This window comes from Homo sapiens, chromosome 11 (assembly GCF_000001405.40).
Source record: "Homo sapiens chromosome 11, GRCh38.p14 Primary Assembly".
Taxonomy (NCBI): domain Eukaryota; kingdom Metazoa; phylum Chordata; class Mammalia; order Primates; family Hominidae; genus Homo; species Homo sapiens.
In genome coordinates, this window is record NC_000011.10 from 31229947 (window position 1) to 31255015 (window position 25069).

Here is a 25069-nt window from a genome sequence, read left to right on the forward strand (position 1 = left end):
AACAAGAAAAGGATGCCCACTCTCACCACTACTATTTAATATAGTACTTAAAGTCCTAGCCAGAACAGTTAGACAAGAAGAAATAAAAGGCATTCAAATTTGGAAGGAAGAAGTAAAATTATCTCTGTTCACAGATGAGATTATTTTACATATAGAAAACCCTAAAAATTCCACACAAAAATCTTTTACAACTAATAATTTCAGCAAAGTTGCAGGATACAAAATTAACGCACAAAAATCGGTTGCATTTCTATATACTAAGAATGAGAAATCAAAAAGGAAATTAAGAAAACAATGTAAATATACTTAACACTACTGCATTGTACACTTAAAAAATGGGTAAATGGGTGAATGTAATGCTGTATGTTTTTTTACAATAAAAAATAGTCATAAAAAATATTAAGGGCCAAAAAGAAAAAAATAGAAAAAAAAAGAAAAAATATATTAAGGGACAAAATGCCTACAATTACTACACTGCAGAGGCTGAGGGGTGGTTCACGCAGGCCAAGAGCAAGATGGAAAAATGCGGTACTAACTCAGCAACAGTCAAGCTAAGACTGCAGTGTCCAGGGTGCACTCCCATCCACCCAGAGAGCATCCAGCATCAGCTACTGACCTCAGCAACAGACAAGACCAATCATCTCTGCAGTCAGACACCATCTGTCTCAAAGGACCACCTTTCTCTCCCTTGAACCATGATGACTCCAGAATATTTTACTCACATGCTATCTCAAAGAATTTAGAAAACTGGGTAACCTTTACTTAGAAAACTATGTACCAACATTTTAAGTTGACATTTAAAATTTTTTATCATTAGCTTAAAAACAGTTACAAAGTATGTAATTTCTGGCATGTTATAAATATTGTCATTACCAAAGAAAACTGTTAAATTGGTTTTTAAAATCTATCCGGTGAGGTGAAATACCAGAGCAGTTTTACATCAATAATTATCCATTTTTTTTAATAAAACATGAAAAAAACTCTTCTTTAACATTCAGGAAGTTATGAAATTTTTTTGTTTTTGTTTTTTTGAGACAGGGTCTTGCTCTGTTGCCCAGGCTGGAATGCAGTGGCACAATCACACCTCACTGCAGCCTCGACCTCCAAGGCCCAGGCAATCCTCCCACCTCAGCCTCCCAAATAGCTGGTACCACAAGCATGCATGCACCATCACATCTGGCTAAATTTTTTATTTTTGTAGAGATGGTGTCTCCCTATGTTGCCCAGGATGGTCCCGAAATCCTGGGCTTAAGCAATCCCCCTGCCTCTGCCTCCCAAAGTGCTAAGACAATCAGAAAGCTTACATCCTTCCTTTTTCTCCTCAACTTTGTATTTCTATCCCACTTCTTCCTTAACAGAAATACATATATAACAGCAAGGAAAGATTTGGAGCCCTATCACAAGTTTATGACACTAATATTTTCAAAGTGTCCCTTTGTTTGGTGCCTGGAGGTTTTTACACCACAAGGTGATATGCCAGAATAGACTCAGGATGAGGAAGAGGTGTGCTTTGCCTTTTTAAAGGGTGAATGGAAAATGGGAAAAGAGAAAAGAGACGGCATTCCCTCACACTGCAGGCACATTCTCAAGCAGAATCATTTTAGTAAAAAGTGCATATAGGAGTTGGGAATCTGGACATTTATTCTCTTAAAATCACTGTACATCTCCTGCTCTTTGTATACCTTCAGGGGAACAACCCCAATTGTTACTTAATAAGCCCTTCTCCTCCATAAACACAGATGACTTCTTGGAGGGAACACAAAAAAAAATGGCAGAAAGATGAACATCTGAGCATCTTTATTCAAAAGGCTGAGCGTTGCCTAAATAAGCTGGTTAAATTATTTGGTCTGAATCAAATTTAGTTTTACTTTTCTCCCACCACCATGTGTGAAAGATAAAATAAGATTTAAACAAAATAAGGAAAACACTTCTTGGCATGTCTTGTATGCTGTGAGTGGATTTGCTCTCCTGCAGTGTGTATCTTCTTCCTAAAGTAAACTCTAGCATATGCTTTCCAAACTCAATGACTTGCTTTCCCCATCCACACTATCCAACCACGTTAGGATCTCAGATCCTGAGACTGAGGAAGGTCTTCTGACCTTAGTCTTACATTCAAAATAGGCCACAAATTTAGCCTTTTTCATTATCTGCAAATAAAGTTACACATACAATCAAGAAGTTACACATACAGTGACAGGATACTCTGGAGAAGACAGTCATTTTGAAATATCTGTCCCATCACCAGATCATGCCCCCAACATGGGTTATGAATTAATATTTTTTAGAAATCTTTTAATTATCATGTAAATAGAACAATTATATCATACTGTGCTTTTTGTTAATAGAGTTAATTTTAAGGTTAATCATCTAAAATATACTTAACAGTTTTAAAATCCTGTTTTGGCATTTCTTCATTATTTAATATGCTGTGAACTTTAAAAAAATATAACCACTCTCAGCCTCTGAGAGGTCCTATCTATACCCACTGCCCTTAATTCTTTAACGCCAATTTTTTCTTTAATCCTATTCACTCTAAGTTTTCATTATCTTCCAAAGGCCGCTGATATCCTTTTTTAAAAATCACATATAACCTGCTTGAAATCTTGTTCACTCCTGACTTCATGCCACTGCCTATCTCAATCTCCTTTTCAAACTCTGCCCATACTTCAGTTAATAAAACATGCCTTACATTTGCTAATGAAGATAGGCTTTAGTGCCATTACAACTCTATCTTGCTGTCTCACCTTAGACAAGGACCTTACTGCCATTGGTGTTAATTACTTTATAATATTAATAATAAAGATGCTGGTGATGATAGCTAATCCCCAGTGAGCACTTACTAGGTTCCAGGTACTGTTTTAAGAATCTTTGGTGGCTCATGCCTGTAATCCCAGCACTTTGAGAAGCTGAGGTGGGCAGATCATCTGAGGTAAGGAGTTCGAGACCAGCCTGGCCAATATGGTGAAAACCCATCTCTACTAAAATACAAAAATTAGCCGGGCATGGTGGCATGTGCCTGTAACGCCAGCTACTCGGGAGGCTGAAGCAGGAGAATGGCTTGAATCTGGGAGGTGGAGGTTGCAGTGAGCCAAGTTCGTGCCACTGCACTCCAGCCTGGGTGATACAGTGAGACTTCATCTCAAAAAAAAAAAAAAGAGTCTTATATACCTTATTTAATCTTCACAACAGCTCAATGAGGTAAGTATTATTGTCTTATTATCTATAAAATGAGAGGACTGGATTATGCAGCCTTTAAAATTCATTTCAACCTCACTTTCATTCTATTCATGCTAGTCTTTCTTTTAAGTTCCCATAATACATAGAATCTGTATCACATATTTTAGCACTTATTTTTATACTGATAAGCATATTTCCTAATAGCTTCACATGGGTATGCTTTGTCTCCAAAACAAGAAAGTTAGCTTCCTGAGGGTTAGGCCTTAGAGAATTCTCCTGTATTTTCAACACTGGTTAACACACAGACAGAGCACATATGTGGTACTCAACACTTCATCATTTGAGTTTGTCTTCTTTGGTTCTCTAATTACTTTTTGGGGGTGGGGAGGTACCCAAAAGATAAGGTTAAATCAGTGACTGGTAGAATTGTAGTCCCCAAAGATGCCACACTATATAGTTCACTTATAAGGATCTTAAGAGACACTGAAGGGCCTAAAGGTGTCCACCTGGTGGTTGGAAGGCAAACAGATTGTGAACTATATGTGTTTTGTTTTGTTTTCAAAATATTTGCTTTGTTTTGCTTTATGAGGACTGGAGCACCTTATCTACCCAACACCAAATTAGATCCTGATCATGTTAAAAGATTTGTCACCTTGTTAATCACAGAATGAGGAATCCAATGCCAGAAGTATAAATGGAGTATCTGACCGAATTTTTGCCTTCTAAAAAAGAATTGTCCAGTGGAATTTTCAGTGATGATGTAGCTATTGAGTAATCAAAATGTGGCTAGTGAGACTGAGGAACCCAATTTTCAATTTTATTTAATTTTAATTTAAAAACACAAGGGATAGTGTATTGTGCTGTACAGTTCTAAAAGATGTAACTCACCTGTGGTTTGCCAAGGCTGAAGCCCTTTCCAGCACCTTTTATTTATGCTGTAATTCTTTTCTCTAAAGCTTTCAACATTTACTTCCCAGTCACACATATTAAGTGTTGATAAATGAACTCTTGCCATATCCTTTTTCCATGCATGACTGGCTATGTTCAGAAACTTCAAATATTTTAGAAATGTAACAGGATACTGATTATTTTAGGGAGGTTATGTAAAATTGATTTTCTAACATAATTGAGAAAGTTTTATGAAAGAGAGCAATAAATTAATGTTACATTAATTCCCACCTTTTGCAACATATATAAAATAAGAGCAAAGAATGAATTTTATTATTTGAAAATCAGAAGTTTGTTGTAAGATTGATGTTTACTCGAACTAACGCTACTAACAAGAAGTGAGGAAGCCACTATATATGTCTCTGAATAAAATAAAGCAAAGCAATGATACCCAAGATGTTTACAATTGCTTTATCAATCATTAGTCAGACTTCTCAAGAACCAAAGATCTTAACTAGCAATCATTGACAACACTGATCCATTTGAATAGTAAATAGAAAATACTAGTCAATCCTTAAGAGAGTTGGTTTTCCTCCTACTAAGAATGTGTATTCAATACTGTTTTAGTTCTTCAAGGAAAAAAAATTCATATTCTTGTCCGTTCACACGAACCTCTCAGTGAGCATTATTGTTTTCGGAGGAGGGGGCAGGAGGCAGGGGGCCCAGGATGTTGACAGAACAGATAGGATGTCAGGTGAAGATAGAATGCTATGCCCTCTCTAACCAGCTGAAGACTCAGCATGATTGTTTTCTTACAAATAATACCTGTGGGTGTTGAAACTGTTCAGGGAATCTATCAAACACACTCTTTCACTTTGCTGCTGTAACTCTATAAAATTTATTCTCATTTCAAAAGAGTCATAGGCAATAATACCTGTAGGTGGTTGAGTAATTTAAAGAACATTTGTCAGGTCTACTTTCAAGTACTTTGCCTGGACAATTCTATCTTTATTTGGAGTTTTTAAAATGCAATATTTCTACCCAATATGATTAGAAATTTCCACATAAGATATCTTCATCTAACTAAAGAAGGATATCTTCATCTAACTAAAGAATGATCTTAAATATAAGTGGGGATATAACATTAGGATGTCTGAGAATAAATTTTTGGTCAGAAAATAAAAATAAATTTAGGTTATAATCATTTCCATTTTTTACAATTATGGAAGTCATTCACACACAGACATAAAAAGCAAATACATCAACAGTGTATTAGAAAAAATGCATTAATAATATATTAATGCCAAATTATTCATCTCAGGGAAACTTAAAGTGCCTACCTCTATAAACTTAGAAAAATGGTCCATATTCTGTAAAGGGAGAGTTGAGTAGAAAAAAAAAACACAACTTTCCTTGTTAAGTCAATCTGTATCCATATTAAGTTTACTTTATCTGTATTATAATTAAAACACTTAAATTGGGATTTTTATAAAATTTTCTATTCAGTCACAAGTACAGAGGATAAATGATTTTTAAATATTTCCATATTAGTTCATTCAAAAAGTATTATAAAATGAAACAATTTAAATAATTTTTAATTAATCAAGAAAAGTAAGGTGATAACTAATATTTTTAATATGTTGATAAAGATGGAGACATATTCCTAGATGATCCCCAAATGGAATTCACTTTTCATCAAAATGTTCAGAATTGCATAAGCAGAAAAGTCTATCTTTCCTTTATGAGATGCAGTTTTTAAGTTAAAAATATTTATTTTAAAATACCATTTGAAACGTAAGTTGGCCCTTATTCTTTGGAGAAGGTTTAACATTAATACAGATAATTTTTCTAATTGAAAGACACCCAGCTGAGATGTCAATAAAGCTCTCTGGTTTTACAGAACTGAATTACCATGTAAAAAAGAAAAACCTCTATTTTTTTCCAAAGTGAATTATTTAATAAATAGTTTTCATGATAAAAAGTTCAATTTTGAGCTAGAGATACATATTTGACACTTGGTAGTATAATTCTAAGAGAATTAGAGAAAAACACAGATTTGAAAATTTTCTCCTGACCTAAACAGCTTTATGACAAGTCAAATGAAATGTTCCATGAAGATAAATATGTCATGGATAAATGATGGAAAATAAACACTATTTCAATATCACTTCTTATTTTATTCCACTGTCACTTCCCCCCTCTCTGTAATAATTACCTATGCACAAACTCTAGATGGCAATATTGCACTTACTGTACTTTTGAGAAAATTGTCACAGTCGATCTCCACATATCCTCTTTATCAACATTTTATGTGCCATGGATCTATAGCCTCTTATTATAAGTGTAATGAAGCAGAAGTTATTGAAGCATTTTATTGATTGCTCAGATCACAAGTTTACTGCCATACTGAATTGGCACCTTACTCACTGAAGCAAACTGCTGACACCTTTTTTAAAAAGTGACAACTACATCTATTTCATGACCAGAAATCCATTTTCATCTCTATCAAGACAAGAATGCAATTTTCACTTCATTTAACTGATGTTAGGCCTGCTCAAAGCATGACACTTAGAAAGAGACACAAGTTTAAGGTTCTTAAAATACTTCAAGTAACTAGAATGCAGCTTGGTTTCAGGAAAAAAAAAATCAACAATCACTCAAATCTACAAACAACCTAATATTCTAAAAAAAATTACTTACCAGAACCTTCAGAAGTAGTTTTCATCTCGAAATGACTATCACACTATTTTCATGTTTTTAATAGTATATTATGTTTATATATTATAGATTTTGTTCCAAGGTTTCAAAGGATAATTAGGAAGTTTGTTAAAAACTGAAATATTTTAAGTGTTGTCACAGAAAGGCTAAGTCAAAGAAACAGCTCAATTTTTAAAGTATATACAGAAAATGAAATAGAGATAGTTATTCATTCAATGATGTAGAACCAATAAATTATTTTAATTGACACAGGATCTGAAAAGACAAACTTCAAGCACTTCTTTTTTGAAAAATTAAAATACTAAGATTCCTTTTAAAATACTTTATGCAATAAACAAATTTTGTCAATAATAAATGTAATTCAAGCATATTTTGAGATGAATCAATTCTGGATAGAATTATATTATACTATTGTTTGATACCTAATTACCAAACTTATTGAAAGTGTGGATAAAGTGAGCCAACATTAACTTACACAATTTTTTAAACAAAATCTAAGTGCTTTGGTAGAGCTTAGTTTTAGTATGTTAACAAAATACATTTCAATTTTAAACTGCAAAAACAATATATACTCAAGCTAGATGGTTATTTCCTCATCAAATAATATGCCCACAAAATAAATCTGCAATATTGTTACAATTTAAAAAGTAAAACCTAATTTTTGAAATAGAAATTCAGTACCTGAGATTGCTAAACACAATATGCCAAATATAGAACTTTTACATATAACATATATAACAGCATCCAAAAAAGTTAACTTGCTTAAATTAATAAACAAAAGAGACTACATACATGCAAAAAAATTTAAATTTAAATCACTCGGGCCAAAAATTATATAAACCTCAACAAACTTTATTAAGTAATGATTTACTACAAATAGCTCAAATACACATTTCAAAATTAAAATTACAGAAATAAAACATTTTCCCACAACTTCAGACATAAATAGAAATTGCAGTGTTTTTCAATACACTACCAAAGTTTAGAAAATACCCCAAGAATTTAAGAAATATTGGAGAATACTTTGGTTTATTTATTTTGCTTTAAGTAATCAAATCAGCTAAAATTTAATATCAAACAATCATTTTATTCCGAAGTGCTAAAAACTAGGAGTAGAATTAAAAATTCCTTAAGATTTCTTAAATTCACAGATTCACATTTTTTCATGGCTTAATGAATTCAGGGGCTATGACTCTTCCTAATTAAGATGGTGCTTACCATGATATAATAGATACTCATTTCCCTTTTTTCTCTCTGAATTTCAAAAATAACTATGCAATCTATAAGAACTGTTAGGCCATACTGTGAACAGCTTTAAATGATTAAAACTGAAAGTTTATGAGTGCTTTCAAAAATTGTATTTAAAAAAAAAAAAGTACTATGCATTCTTATGTAAAAGTCTCCAGGAATTTTGTTGGTTGGCGGGGAAATTCAAACTTGGGAAGACATTTTCAGAAATGAGTGTTTCTCAAAAATCACATTTGTACTTAACACTGCCCATCAGCCATTCTGAGTCATTACTTGTATAGCTGCCTGGCACAGCTCCATGCACGTTTATGCATCTTTACAGTGTTTCTCAACAGACTGCCATATTTTGTTTACTGACAGCAACTAAAAGCTCTATGTGGGATGATAAATAAAGAACATCATGTTTAAAAATCACTAATATCATTTTAAAAGGTAGTGCAGCCTTGTGTTTTGGCCTCTCCTTAGCTGTGTTAGGCCTATGAATGACAGCTTCCCTGCTTGAAGCACACAGAAAGCACAGCCTTCCTCATTCACTGACAGGACTGTGGCCTTTTCACACGTTCCTTCCACAGCAGTGTTTGTCCCCAAACACTAGAACTCGACACAATGGCATTCCTACTTCAACACCCCCACCAACAGCACCACTACATAACAAGAATGCTAATGAGATGGAACGGCCCTGTCGCTGAAAGTGTTAACTACATTTCATAGGAATGCGTTTATGCAATTGCAAAGATTACCAATTAAATAGATTCTGCTTAGCTCCAAGCAATTTCCAAGATGCTTCCACTTTTAAGGAAATAAATGTGATAAATGTATGTCTAAGTGACTTTGTGCTGTTCTAAATAAAATATCTCATTTTAATACACACGAATCAGTATATATTTAAGACCACCCTAATGTAGTGTGCTTAAATCAGTTGCATGCTATAACAGCCAAGCTAAAGTTAAAAATTGAAAAATGAGTAAGTTTGTAAACATAAAACCAGTAGCCCTGACTTTTCTTTTAAAGCTATATTATCGCAATTTATTTAAAATAAATTTCCTTTGGGAATGACAAAATTTAAAGCTTATATTTCGACAGACATCAAGATAATATTGTTGTTTTTATATGTGGTCTCAAAAGTGAAATAAATTGAAATAATATCAAGAATAATCTAATCATACGATTTATAAACTTTAATTTGTTAAGGAAATAGGAATCATCATCTACCTCCATTTCACCTATCTAAAGATTCTTTAAAACAATCTTATATAAAACTAAATAGAAAAGGCTATACCAAAGGTCAAATGAAGTAAGTGTAGTTGAAACAAAGTTCATTAATTCTTAAGAAGGATATTTGCTAGGAAATCCCACTCACAAATAAAGATATTGTCAGGCTTAACACCTAAGCACTGATGGTCTGTTAAGGGTATGACTACAGGGACTTCTCTAAACATTCAAATAATTTTAAATTAAGTCTTAATATAACACTACAAAAGAAGAAAACCTCAAGCATACATAAAATAGAGCACATCTAAAGCAACAGAAATTTACATAAAAATACATAATGAGCAAACTTCTGCTTATTTTTCTTCATTTTTATATTTCCAAATAAAACTTAAGTATCATATTAAAACTGCTGAATGTAAAGCTATGAATTATTACAACTTAGTGGAAGAAAAAAGCTTTAGGAGAAATGGCAAAGAGCATAGGTTTCAAAATATTCTTAAATTTCATATAATGTTGAAATCTTTACAGACTGCCCAAACAGACAATCACAGAGACACTAAAATGTTAAATTTTGTTCATAATTTAATATTTAATAAAATATATTTTTCATCAATTTTGAGTCATAAAGAATTTTTTAATGAAAGCAGTAAGTAATTCTGAAAGTATTTTTTTCTTACAATGCACAGAGCTCTTTTAAATCTAGTATAGCAATTTATACTTCTTTAAATTTTACATGTTTAAGACAGTGGAAGAAAAACATGCCATTATTTCTGGGATGTTTCTTATTTCTAACATCCTTACTTGAAATAAAACTTAGAAAATGTTTAAGCTTGTCTTTAGATTTTATTTAAACAGTGCTTTTCCTGAATTGGAGAATTGTCTCATTATTTCTTCTAACATTAAATAATTTTAAATTTCAATAAGTGGAATCAAACCACATTAATTCCAAAAAATTATTGTAATGCAATTAATCATGATCCATTTTATAATATCATGATATCTTAAAACTTAAATAATATTTCAACTACAATAATTTAATCTAAATGCAATAAAATATTTTATACTAGTTTCTATATATAATGGCTTAATAAAGAACATTCGTTTGGATTTTTCTTTCTTTCATTGTATTATTATGAATAGTCTTATCTATGATAATTATAATCCTGTTTCTGGATTTGCTGAATATAACGAGACAAACCAAACACATTTTGCGAAGTTTTCTTGGGAAGATGTTTTTTGCTAGTTCTGGATACCTTAGTACAACACTTTATTCCAAAGTCAATACAAGTTGTTCTTTTCCAAACTCGACAGCAGGAGGTGCTGTGTGAACACTAAGACTGATAGCCCATTCCCACCTCCCCTTCCTCTCTGCAAGCAGAGAATAATATAGCATGATGCTTTCAAAATATTCATTTTTCAGCAGTCTGTGGTCTCGGATAATGAGCCCAGTTCTAAACTGGAACCTCCCAGTTCAAAATATAAAACCTAGTCCTCATTTAGCTTGGTAAAAACATGTGCTTCGATTCTTAAAACCAAGTACAAAGAGGATTTTTTAAATGTGGCAATTCCATTTTTATGTTATAAATGGCATCAGTTATTCTGCTTTACAAATGTGAATCCTACTTTAAGATAAATCAAAAGTCCCTATACATGATTATAAAAATACCAGCCTTTACCCACACACATACAAACATGAAATAAATACACAGGAATTAAAGGACAAAATCCGGTTTAACCTGATTCAAATAAACTAACTCTGTTTCTATACTTTTGACTCCTGAAACAGACAAGTTAAATAAGGATAAATGAAGTAAGCTACTCTTGACATGAAGTTGATTCACGATTTCATTTTTCAGAATGTGATTTGTTGTATTCTAGCCCCCATAAATCTGATTTTATGCTGGAAAAAAATAGAATGCTAAACATTTCAACCTTCAAATGACTTAGGAGCTATTTATTCTCTTATTTAAAGTAATTGTCTATAGAATTTCCATGTAAGAAGCTGCCTTCACTTTGCCCAGTATGCGCTGCAAGAAAAGATGAGACATATGACATCTTATACCAAAAGACAGATACAATTAGCTCCATTATTGTTGGCTTTGAGATTACAGAAACAGCATTTTTGGCTCCCTAACAGGCACTGAGCTCACAAAATACATGTCACAGTTCTTTTATGACACAAAGCCAATCATTGCCTCTATACAACCAAGTATATTTTTAAAACATATAATAAAGAAATTTTTAAAGAGGGATGACTCACCTGTTTATAATATTTTTTTGCAGACTTTAATCGTTGGTACAGGGCCAAAAGAACTCCTTGGATGTACATCTTAGCTCCTGAGGGGCTGAAACCTTCTCCCTTAGAGACCCAAAGTAGTCCTCGCAAAGGTGTGATGGAATTTTGCAGGCATTTTTCAAGCAGAGGAACTATGCAAGAAAAGAAGGGAAAAAAATTCTTTTGACCCAACCCAACCGAAATACACTGCCTGGAACACAGCCCCAATACCAGAGCTAACTCTTAACATCTATTATTTATAACTGACCTGGGTTAAGTCTTAGAGAGGCAATTCCTGCGTTACTAGTGGCCACCATGAAGGATGTATTTATATTGAGACACCCCCCATGCAAGACTCATAAGCTTTGTGAGCACACCTGAATAGTTCTGAAGTGTGCCTAACTAGCTGCACAGAGTGTCATGGTGTGCACTGATTGCCTTATCTTCTCATTTATCACAGATGAGTTGGAACCAACCTTGCTGAAACCTACTTGCATTGTCCTGATAAAACTGTAAGATCCATGTTGTTTCTGTACATAGCTTCTTGTAGAGCACTCTATATACCTAAAACATCGCATCTGGAAATTATTCATAAAATATAATCCACACCTTTATAAACCATCCTATTTCATGATTTTTGTTGCATTCCTTAAGTAACCCATACAACAGCGTGGCAAGACTGTTTAAAAACAGGGGGCAGAATCTTAAACAAGCATTTTATCATACCTTTCTTTTTTCAGTTTCTGGAATATGAAACAGTCAAGGATTTAGGAATGCTATTCCAGCATGCGTTTTGTAAATAGATAAAAGATATTTACTTATGGGTATGTACTGCAACATCCATAAGGAGTTGACAAACATGTTTATACACTTTTTCACACGATTAGTTAATAAAGTCTTTCTAGTGTAAAATAGTCCAATAACATGGCAGCTAGCTAACATTTTTCAAGATTTAATTTTCCTCTGAAAAGCCAGAAATCAAGAAATAAAAATGGCACACTTGGGAATCCAGAAAAAGTAAATGATATTTTTCTTTACTTGGTCATTATTTAAGTATATACATGTGACACAAACTTAAACATGCAAAATAACTATAGGTATTGGCTACCTTATTCTGATACACATTTCTGCTAGAAAAAGGAATTAAATAGATCACCGGCAAAGAAAATAGGTCCGGCAAAGAAAATAGGTCATGCCGTTAGTTATGTTATATGTTGCATATTTTATGCAGAAAGGCCTAGCATAGCAATCTGGAAATTGAATTACAATTAGGTTCAGCTGAGCTGCTGAGAGGCTGAGTTATGCAAATAGCCTTTGCTACTGGTATTCTGCTAAATTTTGCTCTTGGTAAAAAAGTTATGCATTTTATGGCACTAAGTTCCACAACTCTCTACCAAAGCATAATTTAAAGTCTGTCTAATACGTTCAACACTAAGGAGAATGTTGAAAACAGGGTTCAAGATTTTGTTACTAATATAGTATAAAGTTAAGAGGAAATTATGAGCCAATGACTATTGAAACATCTTCTTAGATGTGTGCATAAAATTCACTTATTTAGCTTGAGAAACTAATTCCTGAAATTCATCTATCAACCTCATTTTTATACTGTCTTAGAGTAATTGCTTTTCTAAGTCTTATAACAAACAACTCAAACTTAAAAAAATATAAGATCATAAATATTATAAAAGCAATAAAAATTAAAAGATAAACGAGCTTATATTCAGAATTATAACTCTTCAACCTTTAAAAATGTATAATATAAAGCAACCTTGATTACAATTTTTTCAAAAGAAACCTAGCTTAAGAATCATCAGTGCTTTTAGTTTATTGCTACACATTCATATATTACTATGTGTTAGATTTTAATTCATACACCTTTAATTGGTATACTCATTGAACCTGGCATACTTTTTGAACATTGAAAGGCACTACATAAATAGATATTAAGTTGAAATAAAGTTTAATAAATTGAGCAGTAGGTGATAAGCTTGAATGATTTACACCCTAGAGTTAATCTTGAATTTAAACATGAGAAAATTTTATCAGATTCTCTACCTATGCTTGTCACAAAATAACTTTCAGATTATTTATGTCAGCTCAAGGGATTCCAAAAAAAGCACTTACTAGATCTAACAACAAAAATTCTAAGTTTTTCAAAGTTTATACTCTCCACAAGAATTTTAGAAAAAATACAGCTTAGAAAATAAAATAAAATTATACCACAGCATAAGCAGTGTCAGAATTGCTACTGGATGGAAAACAGCTCCCATGTTCCACATGATTTATGTAATTAGGAATACTATGGAAACCAGAAACAGCAAAGCAAAGAAAGCAGTATTCACAAGCAGGTTTTATAAGGGACTTCAGAATCTGCTCTGAACTTGTTGAATAATCTGTTCAGTATTCCAGAATCTCCCTGCAGGAAGCAGGGTCCTCATTATAACCACCAGAGCACTAATAAAGGTTAGCCTCTGAACTAGGGATTAGAAGGCTCTTTCTTTTTAGAAGCTGCAAACTAGTAACTTTGATGATCTTCTTGAAAAGGAAGACAAAGCACACTCCAAGAACAAACAATGTTTCCACTAACTAGGAAGGTACAGAAAACATAAGAAAATGATACGCCTAAGTACTTAAAAATGATGTATAAATCAGCCTACGTTATACTAAAAAATAATAATATTTATTAAGCAGTTAGAATTAAAGAACTGTCCATTTAAAAAGGAGCCTCGGCCTAAAACATACTTTTAAAATATTATTGAATAATTGATTTTTTAAAAAAGAAGTCGCTCTACTTTTTAACCTCAACCCATAGATTTTAACTGGATGTGAATTAGTTATTTAAGTGTTTTAGTGGATATTCCTAATATTCTATACCAAATCATAGCTCATAAGTGCTCTTAACCAATGGTTTTCTTCTCTTTTATGTAGAGTTCTCTTTTTCCCTTATTATTTTTGTGTCCTTCCAACCATGTGCTTCTCTGTCTTCAAACTACTATGTAGAAATATTCAAACTACTATGTAGAAATATTGACTCATTCAAGAAAGTTATCCTATGGTCTTTTAATATTTGTGTGCGTAACTACACATAAACATTTCTTCTTATGTGAAAGGCCTTTATTACAGGTGTTCTACCTAGTTTCTTCTGTTTGCATGATTGTGGTAAGAACTTCTCTTTTGTGTATTTTCATTAAGCTAACCCTCAACATTTCATATTAAATGGTTTGGAAGTTAATCATCCCTTAAATTTAGCAATTATGCAGACATCAGTCAAATGGAATCATTTCATTGGGATCACTTCCACCCCTGGAAAGGTGAAAAGTTATGTGGATGATTACTTTTCATTCCTTTTGTTTCATCTCAAGTTATGACTATAGGGCAAAATTAAAATTAATCCAATCATTTCAATGAGTTTGGAGCTAAGACTGAGGCTGTTGATAAATCATGTGACCAAAAAAGAGTAACTCCACTGGACAGAGCTGGTAGTGAGCATCATAGGTAAACAGATTATATAACCAAAACTAGTAGCTATATTCATTTCATAATTATCAACCAATACCTTTCTCACTCACGCTGTTTCATTCCTTTTCCATTTCCTCCCCTCTTTCCCCACCTATTAATATATTCTTGTCCTTCAAGGCTCATATCAAATGTTACCACCTCTGGCAAAATATCCTAAATGATTTAGGTAGAATTAATTGCTCCCTCCTCTATGCCTCCCATAGCATTCTCTCTCTCTTTTTTTTTTTCTTATTGATTTGTATTAGTCCATATCTTGTCCCCTCCCACTTTCATCCCCCAGTAAATCCTAAAACCTTTTGGAGTTTGAAGTCACGATATTTTTTAGTTTAGTGAAAGCAGTGCTCAACAAATGTCTACTAGATGAATAAATGGTACTGCAGATATACTGTAGACAGTCTTCTGGGTAAGTTTTAAGAACATAACTACAACTATCCATGATCATTTAGAACCTGTAACTTTCTATAACCTAAAAAAATTTGATCTGAATTTGTTAAATAAACATGAATATACCCGAATTTCAAAGCATATTTAGGATGTGTGCAATTGTTTTTATTTTAATTTTCCTTATATGATTATGAAGACTAAGGAGGAAAATAAATATAAAAAGAAAGCCATAAGATTTGGGAAGGAAGCATTAACTAGACAGGAGAAGGCCAGAGATGGGTATTTTTAAAAAGTCCTTGGAAAACTCTTATGTACTTTATCCTACCTTGTCATAAATCATGCTTCTATAGGAAAAGGCACATAATAAAATTTAAATGACAGAGCAATAATATTAGATTAAGGTCAAAATAACTCTTTTAAATAAAAAAGGTAATTTCTTCTAAGAACCCCAAAAATGAGTTCAAATGTTAAATAAGAAAATAAACTGTTCAGGCTTCAAGAGGATCTTCTATTAAAACTTTCATCACTGATAAGAAGTGTGAACTTACTTGGGATACATAATGGAGGCAGTACATGATAAGGAACCAAAAATCTCTCTAAAGAGAAACCACAAAGCTAATCAAATTTGTCTATCAGATTTAGACTGGAATATTCTGTCATGATCTATACCGAGGGAATATATATCCCTCTCCAAAAGCAACATCCTACATTGAAAGGGCCATGTGCATACTGCATTTCAATCAAATATGGAAAGCTAAAAAGATCAGGATTTTTTGTTAATAGCATTTCAAGAAGCACAGGGAATAATCAAAGGCTTTAATAACTTGCTTACAATAAAAAATTAAGTCACGCCAATTAAATATCCATAACCATAATTTACATAATATTGTAATTTTCACATTTCAGTCAGAGTACATGAGACTATGAAAGAAAAGCACACTGCCCAGAGTATAGTTACCTATAAAGAAACTTCTATATATTCTTTGGCAGCAAGCTGCAGATCCAGCTTCTAAAATACTTGGCTATTGCTAACAAGATATCATTTAGAAATACACCAAGACATTTGGGAATTTCCCACCAATTCAACCTATTCAATTGGCTTTTTTTTTTTTAAATGAAGTTGACCTAAAAAGTCTTCTTTGGTCAAAACAAGGTAAGTTTTTAAAAGATACTAAGATGTGACTGCTTCCCAGTCCAGGAAGTATGACTGCAGGGAGTTTGAGCTAGTGCCAAGGTATGTGTGTATTTTAATGTTCCTTATCCAGCTTTACGAAATAGTTGGAAAGCTCCTGGTCCCACAGCAACCATCAGACACCATTCAAAAGCATGGTCTGCAGGGAAGATTGAATGACGGAGAACACACTGTCTCCTGTGTTGCTTGATTTATATCAGTGTATTTTTATCCAAACAAAACTAAACTAACAGCTGCTGTGTACTTTTGTTTACATGCTATATGTCAAATCTTATTGTCCCTAAGGTACTTATGAGAAAAGATTTAGCAGTGGTTTTCTTAAATACCAATGCCTACCCAAATTTGGATTTTTCCTCCACTGAACAAAATGACAAGCACATGATTGCTATACTTAGAGCAATCTTTCACAGCTGCTTTAGTTTTTCAGTGATCCTATTAAACTGACGGCATATTGCCTGTGGGGTCTACAGTGTTATAATACTGCTGTAAGAGACATTGATTTGTACGACAGGATCAAACAGAATAGTGATGCATTGCAGGAAGAATTTCATAGGTCATACTGTTTTTACCTGAGTAAAATTTAATTTGGACATTATGACCTTTATAGGACACCTGGTTATTTTAATTGCTGATGTGTGGATGAATGTTGACATTAAGGCTTAGGAGGTATGAAATCTTAGAAAGTCCTCTCCATTTTGAAAATGCAGCCTGAGTCATGTTTTTTTTCTTAAACTGAACGAAGTAGCTGTGCATTAAATATGCTGGCACATCTTCTGCTTGAGCAAGTGGACCGAAATGGTGTGAATTGTTAATGCCTTGCTGCTTTGGTTCACGGCTTGTGATTGATCATTTGTAACTATATCTACTCCTTGTTCCATGAAATCAAGTATGGAGTAATGGGTTCATCAGATTTGGGGGTTAAATTGAGAGTGAAGAGGTACTGTGTGTGGAAATAAGAGTTGCCATGTTCAGGGCTGGCCTTGTAACAGCATGGAATCTAAAGGCGATATTCAAAACCACTTCACTCATCATACGCTTACTGATTCTGAATAGGGCCCATTTGCAGGGGACATTTGGTAGTTTTCCAATACGCTTTATGCCTCTTTCTACTTCCACCACCATGCACATCTTTTTTTCATACATCCCCAGTAGCACATTGGTAGAACAGGTCAGCATACACAATTCATTTATTTAAATGACTTGATTTATACAAGTAGAAATAAGCTGGGATTCTATTGTCTGATCTTTCTTTCCCCTTCAACAAAAATAATAGTGTGTGTGTGTCTTTGAAAATACAAGGATTTTGTGAACTCAATTTCTTGGACTTCTAAAATATTTGATATTTAGTAGTAATGTAAAATAATTGGTTTGGCATACATGCAATTTAAGATTACTTAAAGAAATACTGAGAATTAACTATACCTAGTCAATTTTTATGTGGCCATGGCCTATACCAATACATAAAATTGAAAATGCATGACATGGTATTGTAAACTTTAAAGTTCCATACAAAAACTTAAAGTATTATCTTAGAGTTAGTTTTAGGGAGGATAATGCACAGAACTCAACAAATAAATCTAACCTAAAATAGAAGTAATGGTCTTTAGAAATGTCATTATATAATTACTTGATCTAATAACTGACATTTTTATTACTTGAGAGTATTTGTATTTATATTACTATCCCAAAAAGTTTAACCCAAATGGTATTAAATTAGGCACAAATTAACTTTTGACTCAGTCAGAAAATAAGTAATAGAAAACAAAGTAAAACATAGGAATAAGATCAATTACACAAAGCACTTACATATGTAAATAACATTCAAAAGCAAGCTAATTATAAAATGTCTTGAAATTCCACTGTTACATTGTACAGTCACATTAATACAAGTCTAAAGATGTAGTTAACCTTTTTGTTCTTTTATTTCCTTCTTTTAAGACTCAAAGTAGGAATAATAATAATACCCAGAACAAACATACCTAATTCAGAGACTTAAAAGTCAGCTAATGTGAGTAAAACAGTTTGGTACCCTTGAATGTAAATACTAAGTCAACATATTACTTACATGTTAATGATTTATTTAAGATGCAAATAGATATGTCAAGAGAGATTTATACTTTAAATGTGACAGACTAAAAAAAGCCCTAATCGTTTCAGCAATAAAAATGGAGGATTCCCTTTGACATTTATTTCTCCATGTTTGTTTCACAAAGACAGAATCTTCTATAATTAGTGTTTTTACATATTTTTGTCTACGATTTCTTCTCTCTTCTAAAAACTCTTAGGAGAAAGATAATCTCTGCTGAGTTGTGTTCTTTTACATAACTGTTAAATGCTGAGAGCTATGTAAGACATTGTTTTATAACAGGTAGTAGCAATTAGGCTGTTTGTTTTCATTGGCAATTATTACAATATATTTCATAATAAACTTCTGGGATCATGGACAAGTCATTAGGGTCAGAATAGGATTTTTGGCTTTAGAGTTCTAAGGCTGAAAAATAAGAGACATAAAAACCAGAAGACAGAAAGACAAACTTAAGGATTTTCTAAAAGCAAGGATTTGGTTTAAAAATTACATGAATGACTAAAACAAGTGTACCCCAACAAAAACTAGGAGTGATGATTATATCTTCATGAATATAAAAGAGGGCTTATGTTTTAAAGATTTCAACAGGGAATTTCTGAAAATATTAAAGAGTCTACAAATAAATTAGACTACTTTGTGAATGTTCATATTGCACAGTTCTGCCTTCACATATTTAATAAAAGATGACAGTGATCCAATTATATAATGGGAGATCTCCAACTGCCATTAAAACACTTTTAAAACTCAAGCCTTAGCAAAATTCTTGATAACCTCTGTAGATCAATAGTAAAAATATAAATTAGTGGTTACTTAACCACATTCTGTTTTTGACATAAGCAACAAGGGTAGATGAAGTCCTATGCCAGGAAGTCACTAGAAGACCCTGAGGACCATGTCTAAGAAACCCTGGAACCAAGGAAAAGTCAAAGAGACTGCAAGTCCAAGGAATGAAGACTTCCTGAGCAGCATCTTTCCGACACAACAGGCTCTTAACTGGCTGCCTTTGTGTATACCAAGTCTTGCCCTAGAGAGATTTAAGGACTGATTAATTATTGCCAGCACTTAGCACCCTTCTTCAGCAAGAGACCTAAATTGTTACATTTCATAAAATTTGAAAAGTAAAGGTAAATGCTAAGGAACTCAATGATTGAAGAGAGGCAAATACACTTAAATTTAAAGAAGAAACTTTATCCATAAGCCTAATCTTAATTCCCTAAAAAGTTGTAGAACAGATTATAAAACAGTTTGTGAACACTCAGGAAAACATACAGTAATCATTAGGACCCAACATGGGATCACTGACTACTAAACAAATATTTAATGAACAGAGAGAGAGATTCTTGCATGGAGAGAGATTCAAGCTCCCTACATGGAGCTTGAGATTTCCTACACCAACATATAAACAATATTTCTTCCAGTGGGAACTAGGTCACAATACACTGTGGCTACCATCTATTGTCTTTAAGAAAGGTACTGCCAAATCTGTATGCCCCTTCCCAGATAAATGGGTGTATCTGTAGGAGACAAAGTAGGAGAACATGTAATGTTTACAAACCTCCTATTTAAGTCCTCTATTTAGAATTCATGATTGCTTGCTTTTAAATGATTCTATTTAAAAGTCAAAGAGAATTATATTACTTAGTATCCAAAACAAGGCAAAAAAAAATTATGAGTGGATGCTGCCTTGGCTCACAATTTCTTTCCTGAAGAAAGTTATGAAAGGAATCAGAGTGAATGAATACACACACACACACACACACACACACACACATATACATATATATGTATATATATATATATCCCTGCCTGGGGCTTGACTTTAGGCTACAGTTTATATCATTTTGAGTCACCCCCAACCCCCCTAAAACACCCTAAACCCCTTAAAGAATAGATTTCCGTTAGATATAATTTTCCATTAGCAATGCTGTTCCTGGAGCCTAGACAGTCTGAACTATTGCAGAATTCCACATTTGGCAGAACAGGAGCAGTGCTAGATGTACAAGGATAGTACTAGGCATTTTTAGAGCACCCAAGAAGGAGGAGCATTTTGACTAGACCTAGACCCTCTCTCATTGCCTGAATTTTCCACTTATGTTAGGCAGCATCCCTAATATTTTTTTTTTTTTTTGAGACGGAGTCTCGCTCTGTTGCCAGGCTGGAGTGCAGTGGCGTGATCTCGGTTCACTGCAACCACCACCTCCTGGGTTCAAGCGATTCTCCTGCCTCAGCCTCCCAAGTAGCTGGGATTACAGGTGCGTGTCACCATGCCCTGCTAATTTTTGTATTTTTAGCAGACATGGGGTTTCACCATGTTGGCCAGGATGGTCTCAATCTCTTGACCTTGTGATCCATCCACCTCAGCCTCCCAAAGTGCTGGGATTATAGGTGTGAGCCACCATGCCCAGCCCCCTAATTTTTATACTATTTTACAATATCTACTCTGTTATTTAGCCCTATGCTGAACATGGGAATACAGAGAAGTTTACAAAATCTTCACCTTCATGTAGTTTACACTCTAGATGAAAGACAGACATTAAACAAATAACTGCCAAGTCGTTTTATTAATTGCAGTTGTGATAATTACTATACACAGGGTGCTATGAATGTAACAGGGATACCCATCTATAATGCCTACTTTTATGTGCCAACTTGATGGGATCACAGGGTATCCAGACATTTGGCTGAACATTATTCTGAGTGTGTCTGTGAGGATGTTTAAGCATTTGGATAGGATAAATATTTGAATCAGTAGACTAAGTAAAGCAGATTGGCCTCTCTAATGTTGGTGGGCCTCATTCAATCAAATGAGGGCCCGAATAGAACAAAAAGGTTGAGTAACTTGGACTGTAACTAACTATGCATAGATTCTATTGGATCTCCAGCTTGCCAACTATAGAGCTTGAGTCTTCTCAGCTTCCATAATCACGTGAACCAATTCCTTAAAACAAATTAAGAGAGAGACAGAGAAACAGAGAGAGAGAGAGAGAGAGACACTATAAATAGATTCTGTTTCTATGGATAACCCTAAGAAATACACCACCCTAGATGAGATAGGGAAGGGGAATAGGAGCAAGAGAGAGTCAGGAAAGTTTCTCAGAAGTAATATTTAAATAAAGACCTTAACATAAGTAGGCAATAGCCTGCCAAGAGGATAGGGTGAGAGAGAATCCAAGATAAGGAAACATGTGATAAGGTACTGGGGCATGAAGGAGAGTGTTTGAGAAACAGAAACAAAGTGATTTGAGTGCAGAGTGGAAGGAGCCAGTAATACTAAGTAAAGATAGAGAAGTTGGGAATGAAGAAACCAAATCATGAAGGCCATTCAGGCCATGATACAATTAAAGTATTGGTTCAGTATGCAAGCTATGAAAGAATGAAATCGTTTTTAAAATAGTGTTAATAGAATGATAAAATTAAAAGACTTGTGTCTAAGTTAGAGATAAGTGAGCTTGCAGACTCCACTAAATAAACAACCATATTCTTGGAGGATTAATATAATCTAAAGCAGGACTATTAGCATACTGTAAATCTCTGCCCTAATCACAGCCTAGTCAACATTTTTATAATAACTTGGACAAGGTAAAGTTGGAATGCTTACTAAATTTAAATTCCCGGGTGACAGATTAAATATCTGAAAGATCTGGACAGGCTAAACTATTAAATAAAAATCTTAGAGGTAGAAGTTTAGTAGGAATTCATATGTAAAGATCTGTTCTCACATCTAAATAACTAGCACTACAAATACAAGATAAGAAAGAAGTAGCTTAAAAGCAAATTGTGAAAATAAATTTGGGGGCTTTCATTGGCTGCAAGTTCAATATAGATTAATTATATGATGTGTCTAATAGGAATAATAATGCAATTTTAGGTAACATACTGACCTGGAAAAAAAGAGAGGGTAGGGCTGTTTTACTCATCATTGATTGACCTGGAAAACTGTGTACAATTTAGGGCCCCACAAAGAGGAATACTGAAATAACTAGACAGAACAGAGAAGAGTGAGCAGGATGATGAGAAGCCAGATAAATAGTTGAAGAGGCTAGGGATATTTAACCTCGAAACACTTAAATGATACATATTCAAATATATGAAAGGCAATCACAGACTAGGAATTAATTTCAGGACCAATGATAAATATTTAAAAGAATAGATTTCTGTTAGATATAAAACAGATTTTTTAGAGAAAGTATAGCTGTCAGAAATGGAACAAGCAGTGACGGGATGGACACTTGTTGCAGACAATTTAGAGGAGATTCATGAACAAAGTGAGATTTTGGTGATCACCAAAGGCCCTTCTGATGCTGAGATCAAAAGTAAATCAATCAACAACACTGTCCTGAAGCAGATACTGAAAAAAAATAGTCATTATCATTTGTCTTATACTACATTGAGTATCAAATATGAGAATCTTCTAGCTTTTAAAGTTCTATAGAATGTAGCAAAACACTACTCAGAGTGGTCAGTGAATCATTAAGCATGAGAACTACCAACAAAAAGCAGTTAATAGTGAGTAATTCATTGCAAATGTAATTCAACAAAGAAATTTTTGGAATTCTAATTAATTCATTCACTTAAAAGTATTTTCATCTCTCACTATGTTTTAGGCACTATAACATAGACTATTCTTACTAATTATTTATTTGAATATTAATATTTTTGAGGACCTATGATATGCCCAGTTCCATCGTAGATATTAGGAGAGTTTTGGAGATTTTTTTTTTTTTTTTTTGAGATGGAGTCTTGCTCTGTCACCCAGGCTGGAGTGCAGTGGCACGATCTCGGCTCACTGCAAGCCCTGCCTTGGAGATTTTTTTAAAAGTAAAAGACAAAAAGTTATCTTTAGTTAAAGAAATAAGAATGATACACAAAACAGAAATACTGTATAAACAATTTTATGGTTTATGATACAGAAAAAAACAAAAGAGGTTATGAAAAGAAGGTATTAGTAAACCAAATAGATAAAGTAGGATTTAAATAATATTTTAAAACTTTGCAGGCTGACCTGCCTTGTAGAAGACTCAGAGAGCCCACCTAAGCCATGCCTGAATTCCTGACCCACAAAAATTGAGAAATAGTATGTGCTTTTTTCTTTAAGCTGCTAAATTTTGGGATAATTTGTCAGGCAGCAACATATAACTAATACCAATTTTAGAAAAGAGATAATACAGTGTATTCCATTATTATTGAAAGTATTTGTTGCCCCTCCCTGAAGGAAAAGTACACTTCCCACCTTATTCATGTCAGGTTTAGCTGTGTCACTTGCAATGCTCTTCCCCGTGGAAGGGCCAGACATCCTCACACTGTTGAATTAAGAAGATGGCATGTGACTTGCTTTGACATATGCAAGTGTAGCTGCAGTCAACCCACACCAACATGTAGCATGAGTGAAAAATAATACATTTCTATAAGCCACTGAAAGTTATAGGGCAAAATAATACACTGAAAGTTGTGGAGTCATTTGTTACCATAAAATAATATATCCTAACTGACACAACTCACTGAACTTTGAATAGATGGAGAATTGGAAGATTATTCCAAGTGAGCAGAAAATAGCATAAAGAAGGGTAAGGAAGCTGGGCATCCCATGTGTCACTGAATGCTCTGGAACATTAAAGAGACTGATCTAGCTACAACTAAAGGTCCATGTTGGGTACTTGTGAGTTGTGGGTGATTAAGTCGGATGACTGAGCAAGATCACATAGTGAAGTTTCTTTAATGTGAAAATCGAGAATGTGCAGATTGTCATGAAATGTAACATTTTGAACAACAAAAAAATTGAGGGATATTTAGGGAGATTACTCTGACAATACAAAGGATTAAGATTTAGGAATAGAATTTAGCTGTCTAAATAGTGAATAACAATTATGTGATAACATTTAAGAAGTACAAATAGCTTACTATATTTGGTACATATTGCCACAGTAATATTGCACAACAAACCACCACAAAACTCAGTGGCATAAAACAATAAGCATTCACTTAGCTCATGAGTCTGCAAGTTAACAGGGTGGTTCTGCTGGTCTTGCCTGGGCTTGCTCACATGTCTTGGAATCAGCTGGCTGTCAGCTGAGCTAGGGTGACCTTGGCTGGAACAAGTGGGGCAAATTGGTTCTGCTCCATTTGTCTTTTTTCTAAATAATATATGGAGGTGAAATTCACATAACATAAAATCAACCATTTTAAAGTGAAGAGCTCAGTGGCATTTAGTAGATTCAAAATGTGCAACCACCACCTCTATATAGTTCCAAAATATTTCCATCATTCCAAAGTAAAACCACTTATACATACATTAAGCAGAGTCTCCTTTTCCCTCAGGCCATGACAAACACCAATCTGCATTCTGTCTCTGTGGATTTATTCGCTCTGGATG

General features: G+C 33.6%; 1 protein-coding gene across 23 annotated transcripts in view; it reads right to left on the minus strand.

Annotated features, from left to right (window-relative positions):
• Nucleotides 1–25069, minus strand: part of DCDC1 (doublecortin domain containing 1) — a 506137-nt gene that overhangs the window by 366344 nt on the left and 114724 nt on the right. For all 23 annotated transcript variants that reach the window (NR_170625.1, XR_002957144.2, XR_002957145.2 and 20 more), the window contains one exon: nucleotides 11504–11670. Coding sequence is in view for 20 of the 23 variants with exons in the window: in XM_024448478.2 (XP_024304246.1) it covers nucleotides 11504–11670 (167 nt within the window). In the remaining 3 variants the exon portion in view is untranslated. The remainder of the gene's footprint in view (nucleotides 1–11503; nucleotides 11671–25069) is intronic.